The sequence below is a fragment of the Homo sapiens genome, chromosome 5 (genome assembly GCF_000001405.40).
Source record: "Homo sapiens chromosome 5, GRCh38.p14 Primary Assembly".
Taxonomy (NCBI): Eukaryota; Metazoa; Chordata; class Mammalia; order Primates; family Hominidae; genus Homo; species Homo sapiens.
In genome coordinates this window covers 78,123,932-78,143,356 of record NC_000005.10, presented here as the reverse complement: position 1 = coordinate 78,143,356, position 19,425 = coordinate 78,123,932, and the positions used below count along the sequence as shown (strand labels likewise).

General features: G+C 33.6%; 1 protein-coding gene across 3 annotated transcripts in view; it reads left to right on the top strand.

Annotated features, from left to right (window-relative positions):
- The window catches only part of AP3B1 (adaptor related protein complex 3 subunit beta 1), a 294,177-nt gene that overhangs the window by 151,342 nt on the left and 123,410 nt on the right, over positions 1-19,425 (top strand). For all 3 annotated transcript variants that reach the window (NM_001271769.2, NM_003664.5, NM_001410752.1), the window contains exons 15-17: positions 2,038-2,214; positions 14,050-14,236; positions 15,197-15,327. In NM_001271769.2, coding sequence (NP_001258698.1) covers positions 2,038-2,214; positions 14,050-14,236; positions 15,197-15,327 — 495 coding nt within the window. The remainder of the gene's footprint in view (positions 1-2,037; positions 2,215-14,049; positions 14,237-15,196; positions 15,328-19,425) is intronic.

Sequence of the window (19,425 nt, the reverse complement as noted above, 5' to 3'; positions counted from 1 at the left end):
TGTGATTTATTGATTTTTAATTTTTTCAAAGAGTTGTATTTTAAATATATGTATCGTGAGTGTTTACAGTATTCCAATATTTTAATTTTAATTTTAGTATATTCATGAATATAAACAATCTCTTTAAACATTACTTGTTTTTGGGATCGTCTTTTTAATTGCAAAAGATTGTTACCAGAAGAAAATTACTTAAAATGGGATAATAGATTATGGTATGTCATAGAATTCTGATTTTTATACTAGCAATATATAATAAAATATTTAAGAAAAATAAATCTAGCATAACTGAAATTTGAAGTTGCACATATATTCTTATTTAGAACTACCTTTCATTATGGCAGGCAACTTGAATTCCTCTATACTGGAAAATTTAATGTACCACTCAATTACTATTCTTTAGCCCAATTTAAAATAATAGATTGGGAGTAAGGTCTTAATGCAGTGTAACCTTTGGAACGTTAGAAATAACCTCTTTTCTTTCCAGAAATCAGTATGCAGTAAGGGCATCAGTTTTATCACACTGCATGAATAGATTTTTAATAGCACTTAGACCTTTTTCTAATTGCACAAGTATATGGATTTCTTGTGTCTCACCAAACATGCTAAATAATAATTTAAAGACATGCTGTTACACTGTTTTAAAATATATACCTTTTTATTTAAAAGCTTTTTTGATCATCTCATTCTGATTCTAGTGAAGGACTCAATATTGTAACTTAATATTTTTATATAATTTCATAATGTGGGTGTTTTGAAAGATTTTGCAATGGTAGATATTGTGATAAAATTTTAGCTATGGAAAGGTCCTTATTCTCACTTTTTTCTTTAACAATCCTACTATGTATAGCCATGAAACTACAGAAAATATTAGGACTTTGAGAAATTGTAAAAGGACTTCATAAAAAGAACATTATCTTTCCTCGTGATGCCACCTTTTAATGATAGCTGTCAGCCTTTTCACTTATTATAAAAAACAAATTTTCTGTGCGAGGTGAAAATGTTCACTGAAATGAATTTACACACCCTCTCAAATTCCTTTTGGAATAGGGGAGGATGCAAATAAGCAAATAGTAATAAAACTAATTTGCATACTCTAAATTGTTGGTCTTAATGGTACTGATGGAAGGTTTCCAATTTGTCACAAAGCAGTGACTTTTAAGAACATAAATTATATTGAAATGCAGTTTATTTAAAAATATAGTGCCAAAATGCAATATTGGACAAATTTATCCCTGTTTCTTTTGTTGACCAAATAATAGACTGGGATTCATGATTTTATAAGCAGACCTTGATGATCTTATCAGTTTGATATATTTCCAGTGTTGTAGATGCTAATACATAAAGAGCAAAAACAGTTTTGATTTGGAATCATAGTACCTAATTGATCTGTTTCTTTTTCTGTATTATCTGTGGGTTCTCAAATGGGCTTTGTGGACCACCTGTCTCAGGAGTCATCTGTGATGCTTTTTAAATTAAAACATAGATTTCTGGGCCCCACCACAGAAATACTATTTTGGAGCTGATCCCAGGACCTGTCTTTTTAGTAAGAACCCTGGATGATTTTTGTGGGCATTGAGGTTTGGGAACTGCTGTTCTAGAGCAGGGGTCAGCAAACCATTTCTATAAATTGCTAGACAGTCAATATTTTTGGCTTTGAGGACCATATGGTCTTCACTGTAACTATTTCTGCCATTATAGCACAAAAGCAGCAACAGATAATGGAGAAACAAATAGGTATGGGCAGCTAGACTGGCTTCTAGAATTTGTTCGTCTCTGATAGAATCTAGATTCTAGACCATCGGTTTTTGCTGTATGAATATTTTCTAAGATATTCTCTTCGAAATCAATTTTAATGAGATTTCCTATGTGTTTATTTTTTGATAACTGACGAAAATTCATAAATACAGGATTAATTCCTAGATATACATTAAATTAATTAATAGCTGTAAAACTTTTGTAATAGTTAAAACCTTTTCTATGTTAATATTAGAGTATGATTAACTTACTTCTAACTATGTAATCTGCTTCTCATATTAGGTTCCTGTTGCTAGAGCAAGTATTCTTTGGCTAATTGGAGAAAACTGTGAACGAGTTCCTAAAATTGCCCCTGATGTTTTGAGGAAGATGGCTAAAAGCTTCACTAGTGAAGATGATCTGGTAAAACTGCAGATATTAAATCTGGGAGCAAAATTGTATTTAACCAACTCCAAACAGGTGAGAGGCAAATGTTAGTCAACCTATCTAATACGTACTTTCCTCTTCACTCTGATCAAACAGCGGGGGTCTGTGCCTTCATTAGTCTGACCATTCAACAATTTCTAGGTGCCTGTTTGTTTCAGGTTCTATGTTAGATGATACTAGTGCAAACAGATGACATTCTAGTCTAGTAAGAGAGAAAACAGATTAAAAAATGAAATAGTGTGTGTTAATGCTGTAGCAGAAGTATTGACATACAGTGGAATTCTAGACGAATTATAAAGTCTGAAGTCGATGTGAGGTCAGAGAAAATTTTATAAAGGATGAAACTCTTGACTAAGGGCTTGTAAGAGTGGTTTACTGTACAGAAAGAGGAAAGCACAGGGTCAGAGTCAAGAAACAGCTTGGTGTTTCTGGGAAACTTTTTGAAGGTGAGTCCAGAATGGCAGGTACAATGGTCTGAAAGTTTATATCCCCCAAAGTTCATGTGGTGAAACCTGATCACCCATGTGATGGTATTAGGAGGTAGGACCTTTGGGAGGTGATTAGGTCATAAGGGTGGAGCCTTTATAAATGAACTTTATGCTCTTAGAAAAGAGATCCCTGAGAGCTAGCTTGCTGCTTCTGCCATGTGAGGACACAGTGAGAAGGTGCTATCTGTAAATTAGAAAATGGGTGCTCACTAGACACCAGAACTGTGGGTACCTTGATCTTGGATTTCCCAGCCTCCAGAACTGTGAGAAATAAATTTTTATTATTAATTATATTATTAATAGGCTTCCCAGTTTATGGTATTTTCTAACAGTAGCCCAAATGGACTAAGACATTTTGCAGTTTGAACGCATGGAGTGGCTTGTATGCTCTGCTAAGTAGTATGGACCTTGTCCTGCAGAGGAAAGGGAAACCACTTTTAATAGTAGTATAATTTACCAGATTTGCAGTTTAGAATATTCATTTTTTAAGTCCATTGACTTTTTGAGCAGCTGTTAATAAGAGGAATCATTTTTGCTTCCATGTACGAAATAGGGACTTTTCCTATATCTGAATTGCTATTCTCTGTGAGTGGACTTACCTGTTTAGTAAATTGGAAAAAGATTCTTGCTCATTTGCAGCTAGGCTTCTTGGGAAGCTTTATGCTCTGTGTCCTATCTATTTTTCTCTAATTTTCACTTTTCCTCTGACTCTTACTTTTGCCTTTGTGATTTTTTTTCTCCACCTCCCCTCTCTTTGTTTTTGTCCCCTTCCCCAAAACTCTTTCTGCCTAGATATCTCTCTGACATCCTTCATCCCTTCGTGCCCCGCCCCCGTACTACAGTCCAGTGTGTTTGTCATTGTCTCCTTTCTCTTCCATCCCTGTTTGTTTCTCTCTTTTTGTATTTGCTGTGTATCTCTCTATATGTGTCTCCCTCTCTGTCTGCCTTTCCTGCTTCCCCATAGACCACACTTATTTTCTAGTAAACTAATGTTTGCCTTTCAGAATCCTTAGGTCGATTCCTCAAATTCATTTCTATATGCTTTGGGATTATCTTCATCCCTAATCGTGATATGAGTTATCTTATTATAGCTTTTGCTGATTCATCTACAAGATTTGTAACCAGATAATTGCAAATAATGGAGCATATTTCCATTATTTAGATTTTGTCTTTACATTTTAAGTCATCTTTAAAAGGAATCAGTTAATCCTTTCCAAGTGTCTGTAGATTTCTTCATACATTGAGATGCTTTCTAAAAACTGAGTAAAGAAAGACCTATGTTTGCTGTTGAGTTTCATGTTTCTTGATAAAATAGAGGGAGTTTTAGCCTGAAACTCCATGGTGTTCACTAAATCCCTGTGGTATGGCAAAAGTCAATATGATACCTAGACTCTTAGGATTTTTTTCTGTCTGGTTTGGCCACTCTAAATATATCTAGCTTATGGATTATTGTTAAAGTAATACCAAAATCAAATGTCAATCAAGACTTAATCAAACTAAGTAAAGCTTCTTTCTTTGGCTCTTTTCTTTGTAGCTGTGAATAACCAATAATGAAATGTAGTACTGTTTATTGTAGAGCATGTTTCATGTCTTTTTACCCAGTGAATTTGAAGACAACTAGTTTGCACTCAGGTTTTTTTTTTTTTTTTCTTGATCTCTATTATTAATGGCAGTTTTGGAGCTCAGTTTCTGAAGTGTTTTTTTTTTTTTTTTTTTTTGAGACAGAGTTTCCCTCTGTCACACAGTCTAGAGTTCAGTGGCATGATCTTGGCTCACTGCAACCTCTACCTCCCAGGTTCAAGCAATTCTCATGCCTCAGCCCACTGAGTAGCTGGGATTACAGGCATGTGCCACCATGCCTGGCTAATTCTGTATTTTTAGTAGAGACAGGTTTCACCGTGTTGGCCAGGCTGATCTCGAACTTCTGACCTCAAGTGATCTGCTCACCTCGGCCTCCCAAAGTGCTGGGATTACAGACGTGATATTTTATATTTTAGAATGATACTTCTAGGAAACTACAATAGGCCTCACCACCTAATGGTGAAAACACAGTGATTTTTTTTAATCACAAATTTTTATGTAGCTCATTGTTTTTAAGTGATTAAATATGAAAATAGATTAATAGTGTCTTGAAGAGTTGTTCTCTGTTTTTGAATATTTCTCAAGAAGAGGAGATTGAGAGAATTAGCAACTGAAAATTAGTTGTTTTTTGTTTTGTTTTGGAGCAGAGTCTCCCTCTATCGCCCAGGCTGGAGTACAGTGGCGTGATCTCGACTCACTGCAACCTCTGCCTCCCGTGTTCAAGCAATTCTCCTGCCTCAGCCCCCTGAGTAGCTTATTATGGGTGTCTGCCACCACACCTGGCTAATTTTTTTTTGTATTTTAGTAGAGATGGGGTTTCACCATGTTGGCCAGGCTGGTCTTGAACTCATGACCTCAAGTGATCCGCTTGCCTCAGCCTCCCAAAGTGCTGGGATTACAGGCGTGAGCCACTGCACCCAGCCTGAAAATTAGTTTTAAAGAATGGTTTTAAGCACTATCAACTTGATAGAATTTTTAAAATTTGTGTAATCCATTAGATATAAGACAGACTAAAATAATTGTTTTGACTGAAATACTAAGAATTGTTTTCTCTACTTATTTATTTTAGCCATCTTTAAAACTAAGCTAGGGAGAGTCGATTACAGTGATGAGTAGCTGGTTTGCCGTGAAGTCTTGATATTTATTTGTAGATCTGAATTCCCGGTGGCCTAAATACCTCAGTGAGCATTTCTATAATTTTTATTGAATTATTTAGGGTTATAGAGAATGTCTAAATTGATTTTTATAAGATTTAGCATATTGTATTTATTTGTATGTTTGAAGAATAATCAAATAGTAAATTTCTTTATCTGCCTCAAACTATTTTTGACCTAATATAAAAAATAATTTAAAAATTAGTTAGCAGTCTGTTTTGAGTATATCCTAGACTGACCCTACCATAGAAAACAGCTGTAAACTCCAGAAAAATACAAGAAACAAACGACTTTCTGAAGACACAGAATAGTAAAGAAAAGCAAGAGAATCTGGAGGGAAATTCATACTTAGAAGAAGGAAATGGCACAGAGTTATTTTCCCTGTTTTTATGGCTTTTATCCTGAGGACAGTTTGCAGTTGGCACTGTGCACAGTGGCTAGACCTCCAAAAGGAAATTCAAAGTCCTTCTGGCTTGAGGAAGTAGAGAAGAGAGTTCAGGAAAGCTACAGACATTGGAAAGTTAAGGAAAAATAGTAGAAAGGAGAGAGTCAGTGTGGGAGAATCTCAAAATCTGGGAGTAATTGTACCTAAGTTTTTGGCTGGCATCTGAACCATACTTATGCAGGGTGGATTCAGAGAAACACAGCTAGGAATTAAAGAACCAAGCTGAAATTTGAGGTGTACCCAAGAGACTGAGTTTGTACCTTGAACCCCAACAAAGTTAATTACCTGCTAAAACAAATGAAAATCCTGTACTCATTCAAAGAGTTTAACTATGTCCAGAGTCTCTAAAATACATGGCATTCTTAATGTCCAAATGTATCTTGTATATCCAAAATTACTCAACATAAGAAGAACCAGGATGGGGAGTTATTGTTTAATGAGTACAGAGTTTCTATTTGGGAAGATGAAAAATTCTAGAGATGGATGGTGGTAGTGGTTGCATAATATGGTAAATAGACTGCCTGGCTTCAAATCATGTTGTGCCACTTACATGATTTTGGACAAATCATATAACCTATCCAAGATTTCATTTTCTCATCTGTAAAATGGGAATTATTATAATATAGTCAATTTTGCTATATTGCAACATGTATGCTTCTAAAATCATTGTGCTATACAAAATCACACAATAAAAACCATAGGGATTATTAGAAAAATGCAGTTAGAGTGGCAACACTCAAAAACTATATTGGTGACATATTTTTTAAAAAGGAACCTAAAAAAAAAAACCAGAAGTACAATTTTACACGTGTTAAATGGTTAACAAATAAATACTACAATGATACTGCTCTTTATATTGAAAAAGACTTGAGGTTTGCTTATGGAAGAAAGGCTATACTTGTTCAGCGGTAGAAAGAGGGTTAATCTGAAATTGGATGGAAAGTTGTGCCTCCTAATGAGCATGAATATGGCGCATAACACATGTAGATGTTAACCTCTGAAGTACATGTTTGAGGTATGTATGTTTTGTGTATTCCTACACATCTCTGTTTAGCTGGGTGCATTTTTATGCCTTCACCTAGTATTTCTTGCAGAAGAAATCACCACAAAATTCATGTTATGCCCAAATTGTTCCCTAATATGCCAACTGAGTTGGAACAAATGCACATTTTCAAAACAAGCATTAGAGCAGAACTGACTGTACCTACCTCACAAAGTTATTATGAGGATAACATGAAACAGTTCATGTAAAATGCTTAGATTTCCTTGCACATAATAGTGCCTAGTTCATTTTAGTTATCCTTCTTTTGTAACCCTAGCGAGCAACTGCTGTATTCTTCTTAGGGAATATGATGATTTACAGTAAAGAAACTAGTCTAGTTACTGACAAAAAGTGTATTCTTATTAGGAAAAAAAACTACTGATTTGGGTTTATCCTACTGAGATTTTCTAAGTAGGATGCTGAAATCTCCCCGCCCCTCTTTTTTTTCAGTCTGTGAAGAAAAAAATGGTTAGAAATAAGTATCAAGAGTAGAAAACACTCTTAGAATACTCTCACACAGGAGTAATTTCACTTTTATGTGGGGAAAAAGTTGAAAGACTGAAACCAGTTGAAGTTGCTGAAATCTAGAACTGTTAAGGCAGTATAAAGATTTAGCATGAGTTCGTTGAAATAGTCTACTGAAGTTTGAGGAAGAAAGGATTTAATTAAACAAATTAATAACAATTTAAAAGTTAATGAATAAAAGATGCTTTTGATTTTAAACTCTAATAGTATGTCATCTTTTAAATGTAGTGATAAGTGCTATAAGTTAATGTTTTTCTTAGCTCATTTTGATTTTTAGTTATGAAATATTGCAAACCTATGGAAAAGTACATAATAGCATAAATACATATGTGTATATCTACCACTAGGATTAAGTTGATATTCACATTTGCCTTTATTTATTTATTTATTTATTTATTTAATGTAAGATGTATAGAACTAGAACCTCAAGCTTCTGTTCACACGTTCGTTTCTTCCCCATTGGTAACCACTGCCACCTTGTTGGTGTGTTTCATTCAATCATCCCTGTTTTATATTTTTATTATATGAATATGCATCCATAAGCAATGTATGGTTGTTTTTGTGAGTTTTCAAATTTTACATAAGTAGATATTCTACTTTATGTATATGTTTGCAACTTTTTTTGCTTAATATCATGTTTTTGAAATATGGATATGTGTAGATATAATTTAATTACTATCTCTGTCAGACATTTAAGTTTCTACTTTTCTGCTATTAAAAAAGAAAGTGCTTCCTTGAGTTCTTTTTTACTCTTAGTGAGAGATTTTGTAAATCACACTGATGTTTTAGGGATTCCTCCTAAAGTTAAAAGCAGATTCTCTCTTGCCCGTGATTCAGGTCTTTGGAGAAATCTCCTTCCCCCAAAGCCTCTTTAATGTGATTTAACAAAAGGAGACTTGGACACTCTGAAGTGACATCTCTATCCTTTCTTTGATATGTTTTCCTGGCATTGAAAAACTCAAGTAAATATAATACAGAAAGGAAGACCTTACAGAAAACTTTTCAAGTTGACAAAAAGGTAGATACTATTAAATTCAGAAATTACATCTAAGTCACATAAAGAATCCTGTTTAGTCATGAAATTAAGAAACTAATTAGGGCTGGGCACAGTGGCTCACGCCTGTAATCCCAGCACTTTGGGAGGCCGAGACGGGCAGATCACCTGAGGTCAGGAGTTTGAGACCAGCCTGACCAACGTGGTTAAACCCCGTCTCTACTAAAAATACAAAAAAATTAGCCGGGTGTGGTGGCACATGCCTGTAATCCTAGCTACTTGGGAGGCTGAGGCAGGAGAATCACTTGAACCTGGTTGGCAGAGGTTGCAGTGAGCTGAGATCGCGCCATTGCACTCCAGCCTGGGCAACCAGAGCGAAACTCCATCTCAAAAGAAAGAAAGAAAGAAAGAAACTAATTAGATGGAACAACGGTACTGCTTAGGTTTGCCTCTGGTGTAAGTTAAGAATTCTATGTAGAGTTTACTTCATTTACCAAACATATTTGTTTGTATCATCCTGTTAAAAAATAACAGCAATGTAGAACCAATATAAATCTTTACTATGCCGAATGCAGACTTCTGTGTCCTTTTTATGTAATAGTAAAGATATTATTAGAACTATAGTATTAATAGTAAAATATATATTAGGACTATATTTTAAGAGACCTTTTTAGTTATTTGTACTGACTTATAATCTATTAGAAGAAAGCTATTGTTTGAATAAATATTTCCCAGTTTATTGTCAGAGTATTTTGAGAAGTCTTTTAAATAATGTATTTCTTTTTTTTTTTTTTTTTGAGGCGAGTCTTGCTGTGTCGCCCGGGCTGCAGTGCAGTGGCGCGATCTCGGCTCACTGCAAGCTCCGCCTCCCAGGTTCACGCCATTCTCCTGCCTGAGCCTCCTGAGTAGCTGGGACTACGGGTGCCCGCCACCATGCCCGGCTAATTTTTTGTATTTTTAGTAGAGATGGGGTTTCACTGTGTAATAATGAATTTCTTAATTTTTATGTAACAGTTCTTCAAATTCATTTTTCCTGTGTCACAGTGACTTAGAGTCAATCTGAAGAAAATGTAATTGATATAATTAGTGTCTGGATAGCATTAGCCATTAGTTGGTACCAATAATGGTTCCTTAAATCTAAGCAGGAAAATTAGTCTGAAAACAAAATTTAATAAATAGCTGTATATATGATATTGAATATTTTTGTTAATGATAATACATTATACTGTCATTGCTTATCTTGTGTAATTTGTGAATAAAACAAATTTAAAAGTACTATTTAATTAATATCCCATCTGGTTTTGGATTGAGCCTCTGGTGATATTAAAATGTCATGATTGTACTTAAATGTTGTCTGTTTTCTTCCTAACAGCTTCCCTGGACAGATCTAATTTATGCCTGTTGTCTCCATGCCATCTAGTTTAGGATTTGTCCCAAATTTTTAATGAAGTAATATCACTAATATTTGCCTTAAAATAGCACAGTTAATTTGTAGACCTCCGCTTTGAGGTCTTCTATCTTCTGCCATAATTTTGTCTAGTGGCATGTTAAGACACAAGTGCAGTGAACAGAGATTTCATTTTAATATGTGAGCCATTTAAATCTGAAAGACTGTATCTTTTTCCCACCCTTTCTAGATGTAACATAACTAACTTCTTCCTTTTAGAACAGCAGGCAGGATTTGTGCTGATAAATGAAGTATACTCTGACAAAGCAGGTGGGAAAAGCTGTCTTTTGCTTTGCTGGAGGTGGAGAGATGAGTATTTAACAATGCTTCATTTGCCAGCAACTTGATATACCAGCAAGTGTTGCCATGGCCTATGAGATGCATGAAGCTCCAGGCTGCCAGTGGGTGGAATTAAAGGAAAACATGGGAAGTTAGAGGTTGGTTATAGGTGAAATATGTGCAGGAGTAAAGACTGAATAGTCCTGTCCTAGGTCATTAAAGAGAGTGGTGAAAGCACTCTTGCTACAGTAGTTTTGTCATTTATTGTATAGTGTAAGTCTAAAGTTTGTTTTATTATTTGGCAGTTCTTTTTTTATCTTGTTATAAAATCATCAGCAATATATTTTTTAAAGTGGAAGTGTACATTTAACAAACAATAAAGTGCTAAATTTCCACTTAGTACTTAACATGCATAAAATATTTGTCGACATTTACCAACCATCATGAGAGTGCTGGTGATCTCATTGACCACACAACAACCAGAAGACACAACAATCTGCTACAAAAAGATCAACATCCATTTAAAAAGCTAGTAGTTATTTTAAGATTATGCATTAAGGTAATTTAATACGTACAGGTGCAGAAGATGTTTATATAATTCTGTGTGAAACATGACCTCATTTAGATCAAATAACTTTTTGAAAATTAGTTTTTTACTTTTATTCTATGTTTTCTTATGCACATATGAAAAATGAAACAATAGCTGTTAATGTGGTGGCTCCATTAGTAGAAAAAAGGCCCAACACTGCTGGTTTTCAAACAGAAAATCAGTTAATTCCAAAAATAGACTTTTTTCATTCAATGTATTTGTATATTTGTTTGGTCAGGGCTGCAAATGGGAACAAAGTAAAGCTTTTGGAAGTTTATTCTGTCAAAAATATTGCAAATGCTGTTGTAAATTAAAAAGCTCAACTTTGAAGATAAAACTGTTTTTGATGAAAGGACGTTGTCATGGTAAAAATCAATGTTCTTATTTAATTAAGAAAACTATGGAAGAGAAATGTTTTAGGAATTGGTTGTTGTGCATGCGAACAAACTGCTTATTCAGCCAGTTGAAATAAAACCGTAGTTGTCACATTTACTGATATTAGTATACACAGTTTGACCGAACTATAAAATTCTTGTGATGAAACTGATGTTGAAAAACCATTCTATAGCATAACAGTACACACTGTCTTTAATGCATATTAGCAACAGAATTTTAGATACATGATTTTGTGAAGAACTGCTTTGTAAATTAAGTTTCTTATATTGGCTTAAACATTTTTTATTGATAATTGAGTCTTCTGTATATTGGTTAAGTTTTGGTTCACAAATTGTTTGGATTATTTAAAGTGTCACTAGTAAATGCCAAAAAATTTTACCTTTTGAAAAATTTTAGCAAATAGCAATCATTAGAAACAAGTCTTGCAAACAGAAAGACTTTGAAAGTTTTCCCTGTACAGGCAAGGGAAGAACTGAACAGGTTAAATGGTGAGAGCTCAAGATTTAATCAAGAGGTTGTCATTTGCACTATCTCACCTATCGTGAAGACTCTTTTGATGGAGCACCTGTTTTTAATTAGAAAAATTTATATTGTGTAGAATGAAATGAAATTGAGAAGGCAGTTGGTTTTGTAGTATCTAAATTGATGACATATTTTTAAAAGGATAAATAAAATAATTATTTGAAAATGTTGTCAATATTGTAAAAACTTTTTATTGACTACATGGGGGAAAAGCTAAATATTTGGGTTTGAAATATTGACAGTTTTTAACATAAAAGCAAGGATTGGTACTATTCTTCATTCAGTAGGATTTTCTCTGAGATTACATGATTGTCCAGAAATACTGTAAAGAGGGTATTTTCTCCATTATACCCAAATATGGTCTACAGAGAAGAAAGTTGAAAATGTCAACAATTTTATAATTACTCACTGCAGAATTTAATTTGGAAAAAGATTGCAATTTTATTTTTTTAAAAAAACTTAGGCCATATAAAAATGTATTCTCCAGAGAAATACTAATGCCTTGTTACTAGATACATACACTGAAGAAACTGATTAATGTATGTAAATGTGTGGTGAATAACTATTCTGCTTATGGTTTTAGTGCATCATTGTACACAAATTTGTTTTTATCTTTTAGAAAGAATGTTATTTTTGAAAATACATTTTAATAAAACTTATTTATAAGCTTATAATATAATACATTTTACAGTCAATAAAAATTTTTAAATTATATAATTTTAATTACTTTAAATGCCCTACCTAACTTTCAAAATTGTTAACATATTGAAAATGTTTAATTTCCTAAAAATTAATTTTGGGCTAAGAAATATAAGCCAAATGTATCATTCTGCTAGCTCAAAAAAATCATTGCAATTAAGAGACTCTTTCTTTATTTTAGTTGCAGATTTAAAATCTCAGCACTCAAATGGACTTTAGAGTTAACCAAGTTGTAAATTCTAACTCCACATTTGAGAAAACTAATGATTAAGTGGATTTCCCAGGTTTTTCCAGCAAATTAATTACATGGTTTAGTGTACCACATTTTCTTTTAAGTTGGTTTTGAATTGTATTCCTCATTTGGTGAATACTTTGCAAATTGTCTTAAAAAATGAATCATAGAAATTTTCTTACCTGTACTTGAACCAGCATGGTCTAGCAATTAGTGAATAGCAATTGTTGGTAACCAAATTCAGAATAGCTCTATTAACATTTTCACTTGTATTTTTTATAATTCTACTTTAATAAAACTGGGTTAATCCTTTTTAACTACTCTGCTACTGAAATAAGGTTGCTTTCTATCAAATCAATTATCTTAAGCAATTATTGTAAAAGAGTTTACCACACCATTTCTGTACTTTGACTTATTGTTCTAGAATTGTCTTTAGCTCTGCCTAACTTGATTGATTTTATTTTTTATCTGCTTCTAATGTGCATAAAATCTTCTAATCTAAAGTAAATGATTTAGTGTTTCTCGGTTTATTTTTCCCATATATTATGAATTCTATTTGGCTTATAGTTAAAATTGTACACATGTAGCCTTCTTGTTAAAACTATGCTTTTTCAATAAAATAACTGTAGTTTAAAATACAAACCTGTTTTGTTAACATTTCAATTTTGGTTTAATTATTAAAATTATTTCAATATATGTTAATGTAGTACATTCAAAAATTGACTTAGGAAGTCTTATTATGGTGTAAAAGCTACTATAATAAGTTGTTCCCTTACATAAATAAATAAATGACCAATATTACTAGAGGCTATAAGCAGCTTGGGGGAAAAATGGAAGAAGTCTTTTATCCTAGTTTTCAGAGGGCATCAGCAGCTTGCTTTTATGAAAAAGTAACAGCTAAATGCACTGCAAATAATTTGCAGTAATCCAGTTCAGTGATTCATGTGTCTGCTTTAATGGGTCATAATTCAGGGTAAAGTAACTGAGTGCAGTCAGAGTGCAGACACTGCTTATGCCAGGGACAGTATCTCTTCATAAAACACACCTCAGGAGAAGCAGTTTGCCAGCCCCCTAATACTTTCTGATGTTTTGATGTCCTGCATATTTTTCCGATTAAGTTTTGAGTGCCATGTTTTTAGTTGTATTTCCACATTCATTATTCTCACGTAGACCCCTTCAGCGGGTTTGCCATATATGATTATTTTTTTAATGATGCCTTTCTTTCCACTTCAGCAGTTTAATAATCTAGCACATGGCTGCTTCTCAATACTCAGCATTCACCTACCCAGTACAGAAGAGGACATGTGCTTTGGCTTCAAAATTCCATTTGCAGCATTAGAAATGTGTATTCCCTATGGAACAACATTTGTTTGACATAACCATTCATTTTTATTACCTCTTTAAATATGTTTATCCAGAGTTATCGATAATCATAAATAACTGTATTCTCATCTTGATCTGTTTTTTTCCAACAGACAAAATTGCTTACCCAGTACATATTAAATCTCGGCAAGTATGATCAAAACTACGACATCAGAGACCGTACAAGATTTATTAGGCAGCTTATTGTTCCGAATGTAAAGAGTGGAGCTTTAAGTAAATATGCCAAAAAAATATTCCTAGCACAAAAGCCTGCACCACTGCTTGAGTCTCCTTTTAAAGGTATTATCAGAATATAACTCCAAAATATATGTTATCTAAAAAATTATGACAAGATGTTGCCATTTCTAATGTGCTTAAAATTTATCTCTTAGGAAATATAAATGATTCGCATATATAAATATATAAGAACAGCATGCTTTCTACTCATTCATCTGCTCTCAAAAGCAAGTTTTATATTAAAGTTTATATTTTTGTAGACCTTATTTACTAAATAATTTTAAGCGTTCTGACTTTATTCTAACATTTAAACTGGGCAATAGATGAAAACTGTCTTATTCTTATAAATAATGACTTCATTTCTCTTTTAAATAGTTTTATAAGAAATATAATTCCTTTTAATAGTGAGTTATTAAGTAAATATTCTGTGTACACTAATATCAGTTTTTCTAGGAGGAATTATTTTATAAAAAGTATCCCTCTATATTTAAACTGGTTTTTCAAAGAGGGAAGTTGACTTACGTGTCCCAGCTTTTTAAAAGGAGTAATTAAGTATTTTACCACCTTACAAGTAGCCATTCCAGTTGGAATCAAATAGTTACATACCTTGGTTTTCATATTGTTTCTTATTTAATGTTCTTATTTTAAAGCGATAAAAAGCAATTCAGTTTTGTAGAAAAACTATTAAAATTCTGGATGTGTTTGTGCCAAGACATGTATATGGATTGTTTAACTGTGCTGTCATTCTTAATATTCACAGTAAAGTAATTTTTAGAGAAGCTACATTTCAGAGCAACACCTCTAAACACACTGACTGATTAGCTTTTTTATTGACCATTATGGGGGAGATTATTGTAATCTATGGACTGAAATCAGTTTTTTGACCTATGAAGAGCTTCCTAGTCTATATTTATTCCTTGACATTTGAGGTAATATGCCAATTACCTTGAGCTCTGATTATGATTGTTCTCTGTTATATACAGCTCATATTGTTTATTTTATATTTTTCCCTATTTTTAATAGATAGAGATCATTTCCAGCTTGGCACCTTATCTCATACTCTCAACATTAAAGCTACTGGGTACCTGGAATTATCTAATTGGCCAGAGGTGGCGCCCGACCCATCAGTTCGAAATGTAGAAGTAATAGAGTTGGTAAGTTGACCTTTCTGAAATTAATTTTGCCAAAGCAGTGGAAGACTCTAGGATAGCTATTGTTTTATATAAAAGCTTTTTTGGAGAGTTGAAAATTGAAAATTGTTCTAGTATTTCTAAATGTAATGTGTTAGATATACCTTGCCTTTATAGCAACTAAATATTATAGTATTCCTATGCCATTGTACATGTACTGTTCCTTTTCTTCAAGGAAATAGAGAACTGAATTCTCTGCATCAGTGCCACCCACATTTGTGCTATTGCATTTGTAGCCGCGTAGATTCAATTTCTAAGGTATTTAGTTTCATTGGATGAAGTTTTTTCTACTTTGTTTAGAGATTTGTAAGCTTCCTGACAATATCCTTCTGAATAATTTCTGCTGTTCTCTTTCAGAAAAACCACACAAAGTGTTCTAGATTTTTTGATGAACCATTTTTAAGTGAAGCCTGAACATAAATAGGGAGCATTGTGTACCAAAAATGTCCTTTGACAAGGTCACAAAGTGAATAATATGGTGCTTTCTCATCAAAAACAAATTTGCTATATAAATACTCTTTTTCTCAATCTTTAAAAAAAATGCTGGCCATTGAGATAAAAGAATTAACATTCTTTTCTAATATTATCTGTTTCTTTCTCATATATACAAGAAAAAGTGAGAGAGGCCTTCTAATTGTATTTAGCAATTATGCAAAATATATTTAATACTTTAAAATGTGGAGTTAACAAAAAAAGCAGTTAAGAATTGTATTCTGGATACTTTTCTGGTGGAAAAGATACATTGAATTAGGATTCAGATAACTGGGGTTCTTTACTAATTCCTGTGGGAAAGTGAGTTAACCTCCTTGCTCTCAATTTTTCTGTATACAGTGGAAGAAAACCTTTATTACTTTAATAAATAGAATTTCTATAATGATCATGGCCATGTAATTTGATTCCTCTGAGAAATTATTAAATGTTTCTCTTAACCACTCCAACTTATCCTGGCTTTGAAGCATGGCCGGAATTAATAATAGCACTATTTAGGAACCCCTGACAGTGTACGATGATAATGTTTTATAAAAACTATCTTGTTTAAACCTAATAATGATTGTAAGGGATGGTTATTGTTATTCCCACATTGCAGATGAGGAAGCCAAGTCTTAGATAACTTAAAGTAAATCGCCTAAGTTCACATGGCAAGTAAGTGATAGAACCATATTCCAACCCAGGTCTGAGTTCACTGTCCATGCTGTTACTGTATTTTATTATGTAATATGAGAAGAGGAACCTTGAGCTTGTTCACAAATCTGTATTATCCTTAGTACTTAGCACCATTATCTTTATGTTTTGACAAATGATCTGTACTTAGAGACAGCCAAAAATTTGTAACAGTAGTAATATGTAAAAATATGAGAAGCAATTACATGTCTATCCCTCCTTGCAGCTGAGTTTGTTGATTTTTACTCAAATCTGCATACTCTTAAGTACTCTTCAAAAGAGTTGCCTTATTTGTGCAATTTTTTTTTTTTTTTTTTTTTTTTTTTTTGAGACAGAGTCTTGCTCTGTCACCCAGGCTGCAGTGCAGGGGCATGATCTTGGCTCATTGCAAGCTCTGCCTCCCAGGTTCAAGCGATTCTCCTGCGTTAGCTTCCCAAGTAGCTGGGATTACAGCCACATGCCACCATGCTTGGCTAATTTTTGTATTTTTAGTAGAGATGGGGTTTCGCCATGTTGGCCAGGCTGGTCTCAAACTCGTGACCTCAAGTGATCTGCCCGCCTCAGCCTACCAAAGTGCTGGGATTACAGGTGTGAGTCACCGTGCCCAGCCTATTTGTGCAACTTTTGATCAGATACTAGAATATAAAGAGAGTGTTCTTTGTTATGGTTCCTCCTACGGACATACTTTCTCTCCTAATTTCTTATTATGCTTGTTTGTTGTTTTTATGGTTCGTTTTTTTTTTTCATTATGGGGTACATGATGTTTTAGCCCAAGTAGAACCATCCTTTTAACCTTCCCCTGCTTCCGCCTTATCTCTCCCTCCTTGCTGCCCCCACCCACCAAAAAGCATTATCTTCTCAGAGTTGATAGCAATGCTATGCAATTTAATTTGGTCTCAGCAGTATTCTTTATTGGCTGATAGATTGGTTTGTTGGCTGGCTTCTTCCATTTTCATGTGCTCTTCTAAGCATTAACTACCTTATAGGGACAGTACTTAAATATAACATATTATGTTCGTTTCACCTGTCCAATTCAACAGAGACAAATTAATTTCTTTTTCATTTTGCTGATTATATTTATGAAATTAATAATTGGTAACTTAGAGAGAATCATTATAACTGATTGAACATGGTTTGATAAAACTGTCACTGTCTGTTGATGCCATGCAGAAAACAGCTTCAGTCTATTGGACTCTGAGACAATTGGCTTAAAATTATACTATGAGGGACACAATTAAATATAAAAATAACGTAGATAGTTTTCTTTTTAAATGCAGCTACAATACAAAAAATAATGTCCGTATTATCTTTCTTGTCTCTCACTCTACTTCATCTCCCTTCCAAGTCATGTCACTGTATTTCATGCATATAATATACTATGTTATTCTAGTTTTCCTGTAAAGTGATCTTACATGGTCAAGTCCTGTAACTGTGAAATATAACTTAGTAAGAAAAATGACCTAGGTTTAGATAATCTGATATTTTAATCAAAATGACTGGGAACCTAGTCAGATTGACAGTAGAAGTCACTTTGAATTACACACCACCATTTCTAGGATATAGGATATAATATATATTTATATTATGATCCCAGTAAGTTTTGAAGATCCTTAGTTAATAATTTATTTGCTTAGTTCTAGAAAGTCCTTTCTTCTCTACTGACAGAAAGACCGCCTTCTGCATATGAAGGGTATTTTGCTTCATAAACACATCTGTCAATATTTTATCCTTTACAGAAACTTTCAAATTAGCGTCTATGTTCTCTTCTTTTCTTTTCTTTTCTTTTCCCTATTATTCCTTTTCCTTACAATGATAATGTGGTCTTTTAGTCATAAAGGACCACAATACAAATTAAGATACTTTTATTGTTCGTCTTTGGCCTTTTAAAACCTGAAACTCCATAGAATTCATGGCCATGTCAAGAAAAAATGCACGTTTGAGCATAGAAGTCTGGTTTTCCGAAATTGTTGATTTAGTGTTATTAAATTAATCCAACAAACGTTTTATCAGACCTCAGAGAAATATGTTTGGATTTAAGAAAAATATGGACTTCAGAGTTTACCAAATATAAGAGAGCTTTGTTTATAGAATACTATCTTTGTAGACAGAAGCATTTTAAATAAATATAAAAGAAAGCCATACTGCTGATCTTATATAAGCATCTTATTCAAATATATTCAAGCTTCTCTTTTTAAGCAACATACCTTAAACCCTCTAGATCAGTGGTTTTATTTTTATTTGCTTTTATTTATTTTTTTGAGACATGATTTTGCTCTGTCACCCAGGCTGGAGTGCAGTGGTGCGATCATAGCTCACTGCAGCCTCAAACTCCTGGGCTCAAGCCATCCTCCTGCCTCAGCTCCCAAAGTGCTGAGAGTACAGGTATGAGCTACATCACCCAGCCTTAGACTAGTGGTTTTTAAATGTAGCTGCGCATTATAATCATATGGAGATTTTGTGTGTGTGTGTGTGTTTAATTTTTATTTTATTATTATACTTTTAGGGTACATGTGCACAATGTGCAGGTTTGTTACATATGTATACATGTGCCATGTTGGTGTGCTGCACCCATTAACTCGTCATTTAGCATTAGGTATATCTCCAAATGCTATCCCTCCCCACTCGCCCCACCCCACAACAGTCCCTGGAGTGTGATGTTCCCCTTCCTGTGTCCATGTGTTCTCATTGTTCATTTCCCACCTATGAGTGAGAACATGTGGTGTTTGGTTTTTTGTCCTTGTGATAGTTTGCTGAGAATGATGGTTTCCAGTTTCATCCATGTCCCTACAAAGGACATGAACTCATCATTTTTTATGGCTGCATAGTATTCTATGGTGTATATGTACCACATTTTCTTAATCCAGTCTGTCGTTGTTGGACATTTGTGTTGGTTCCAAGTCT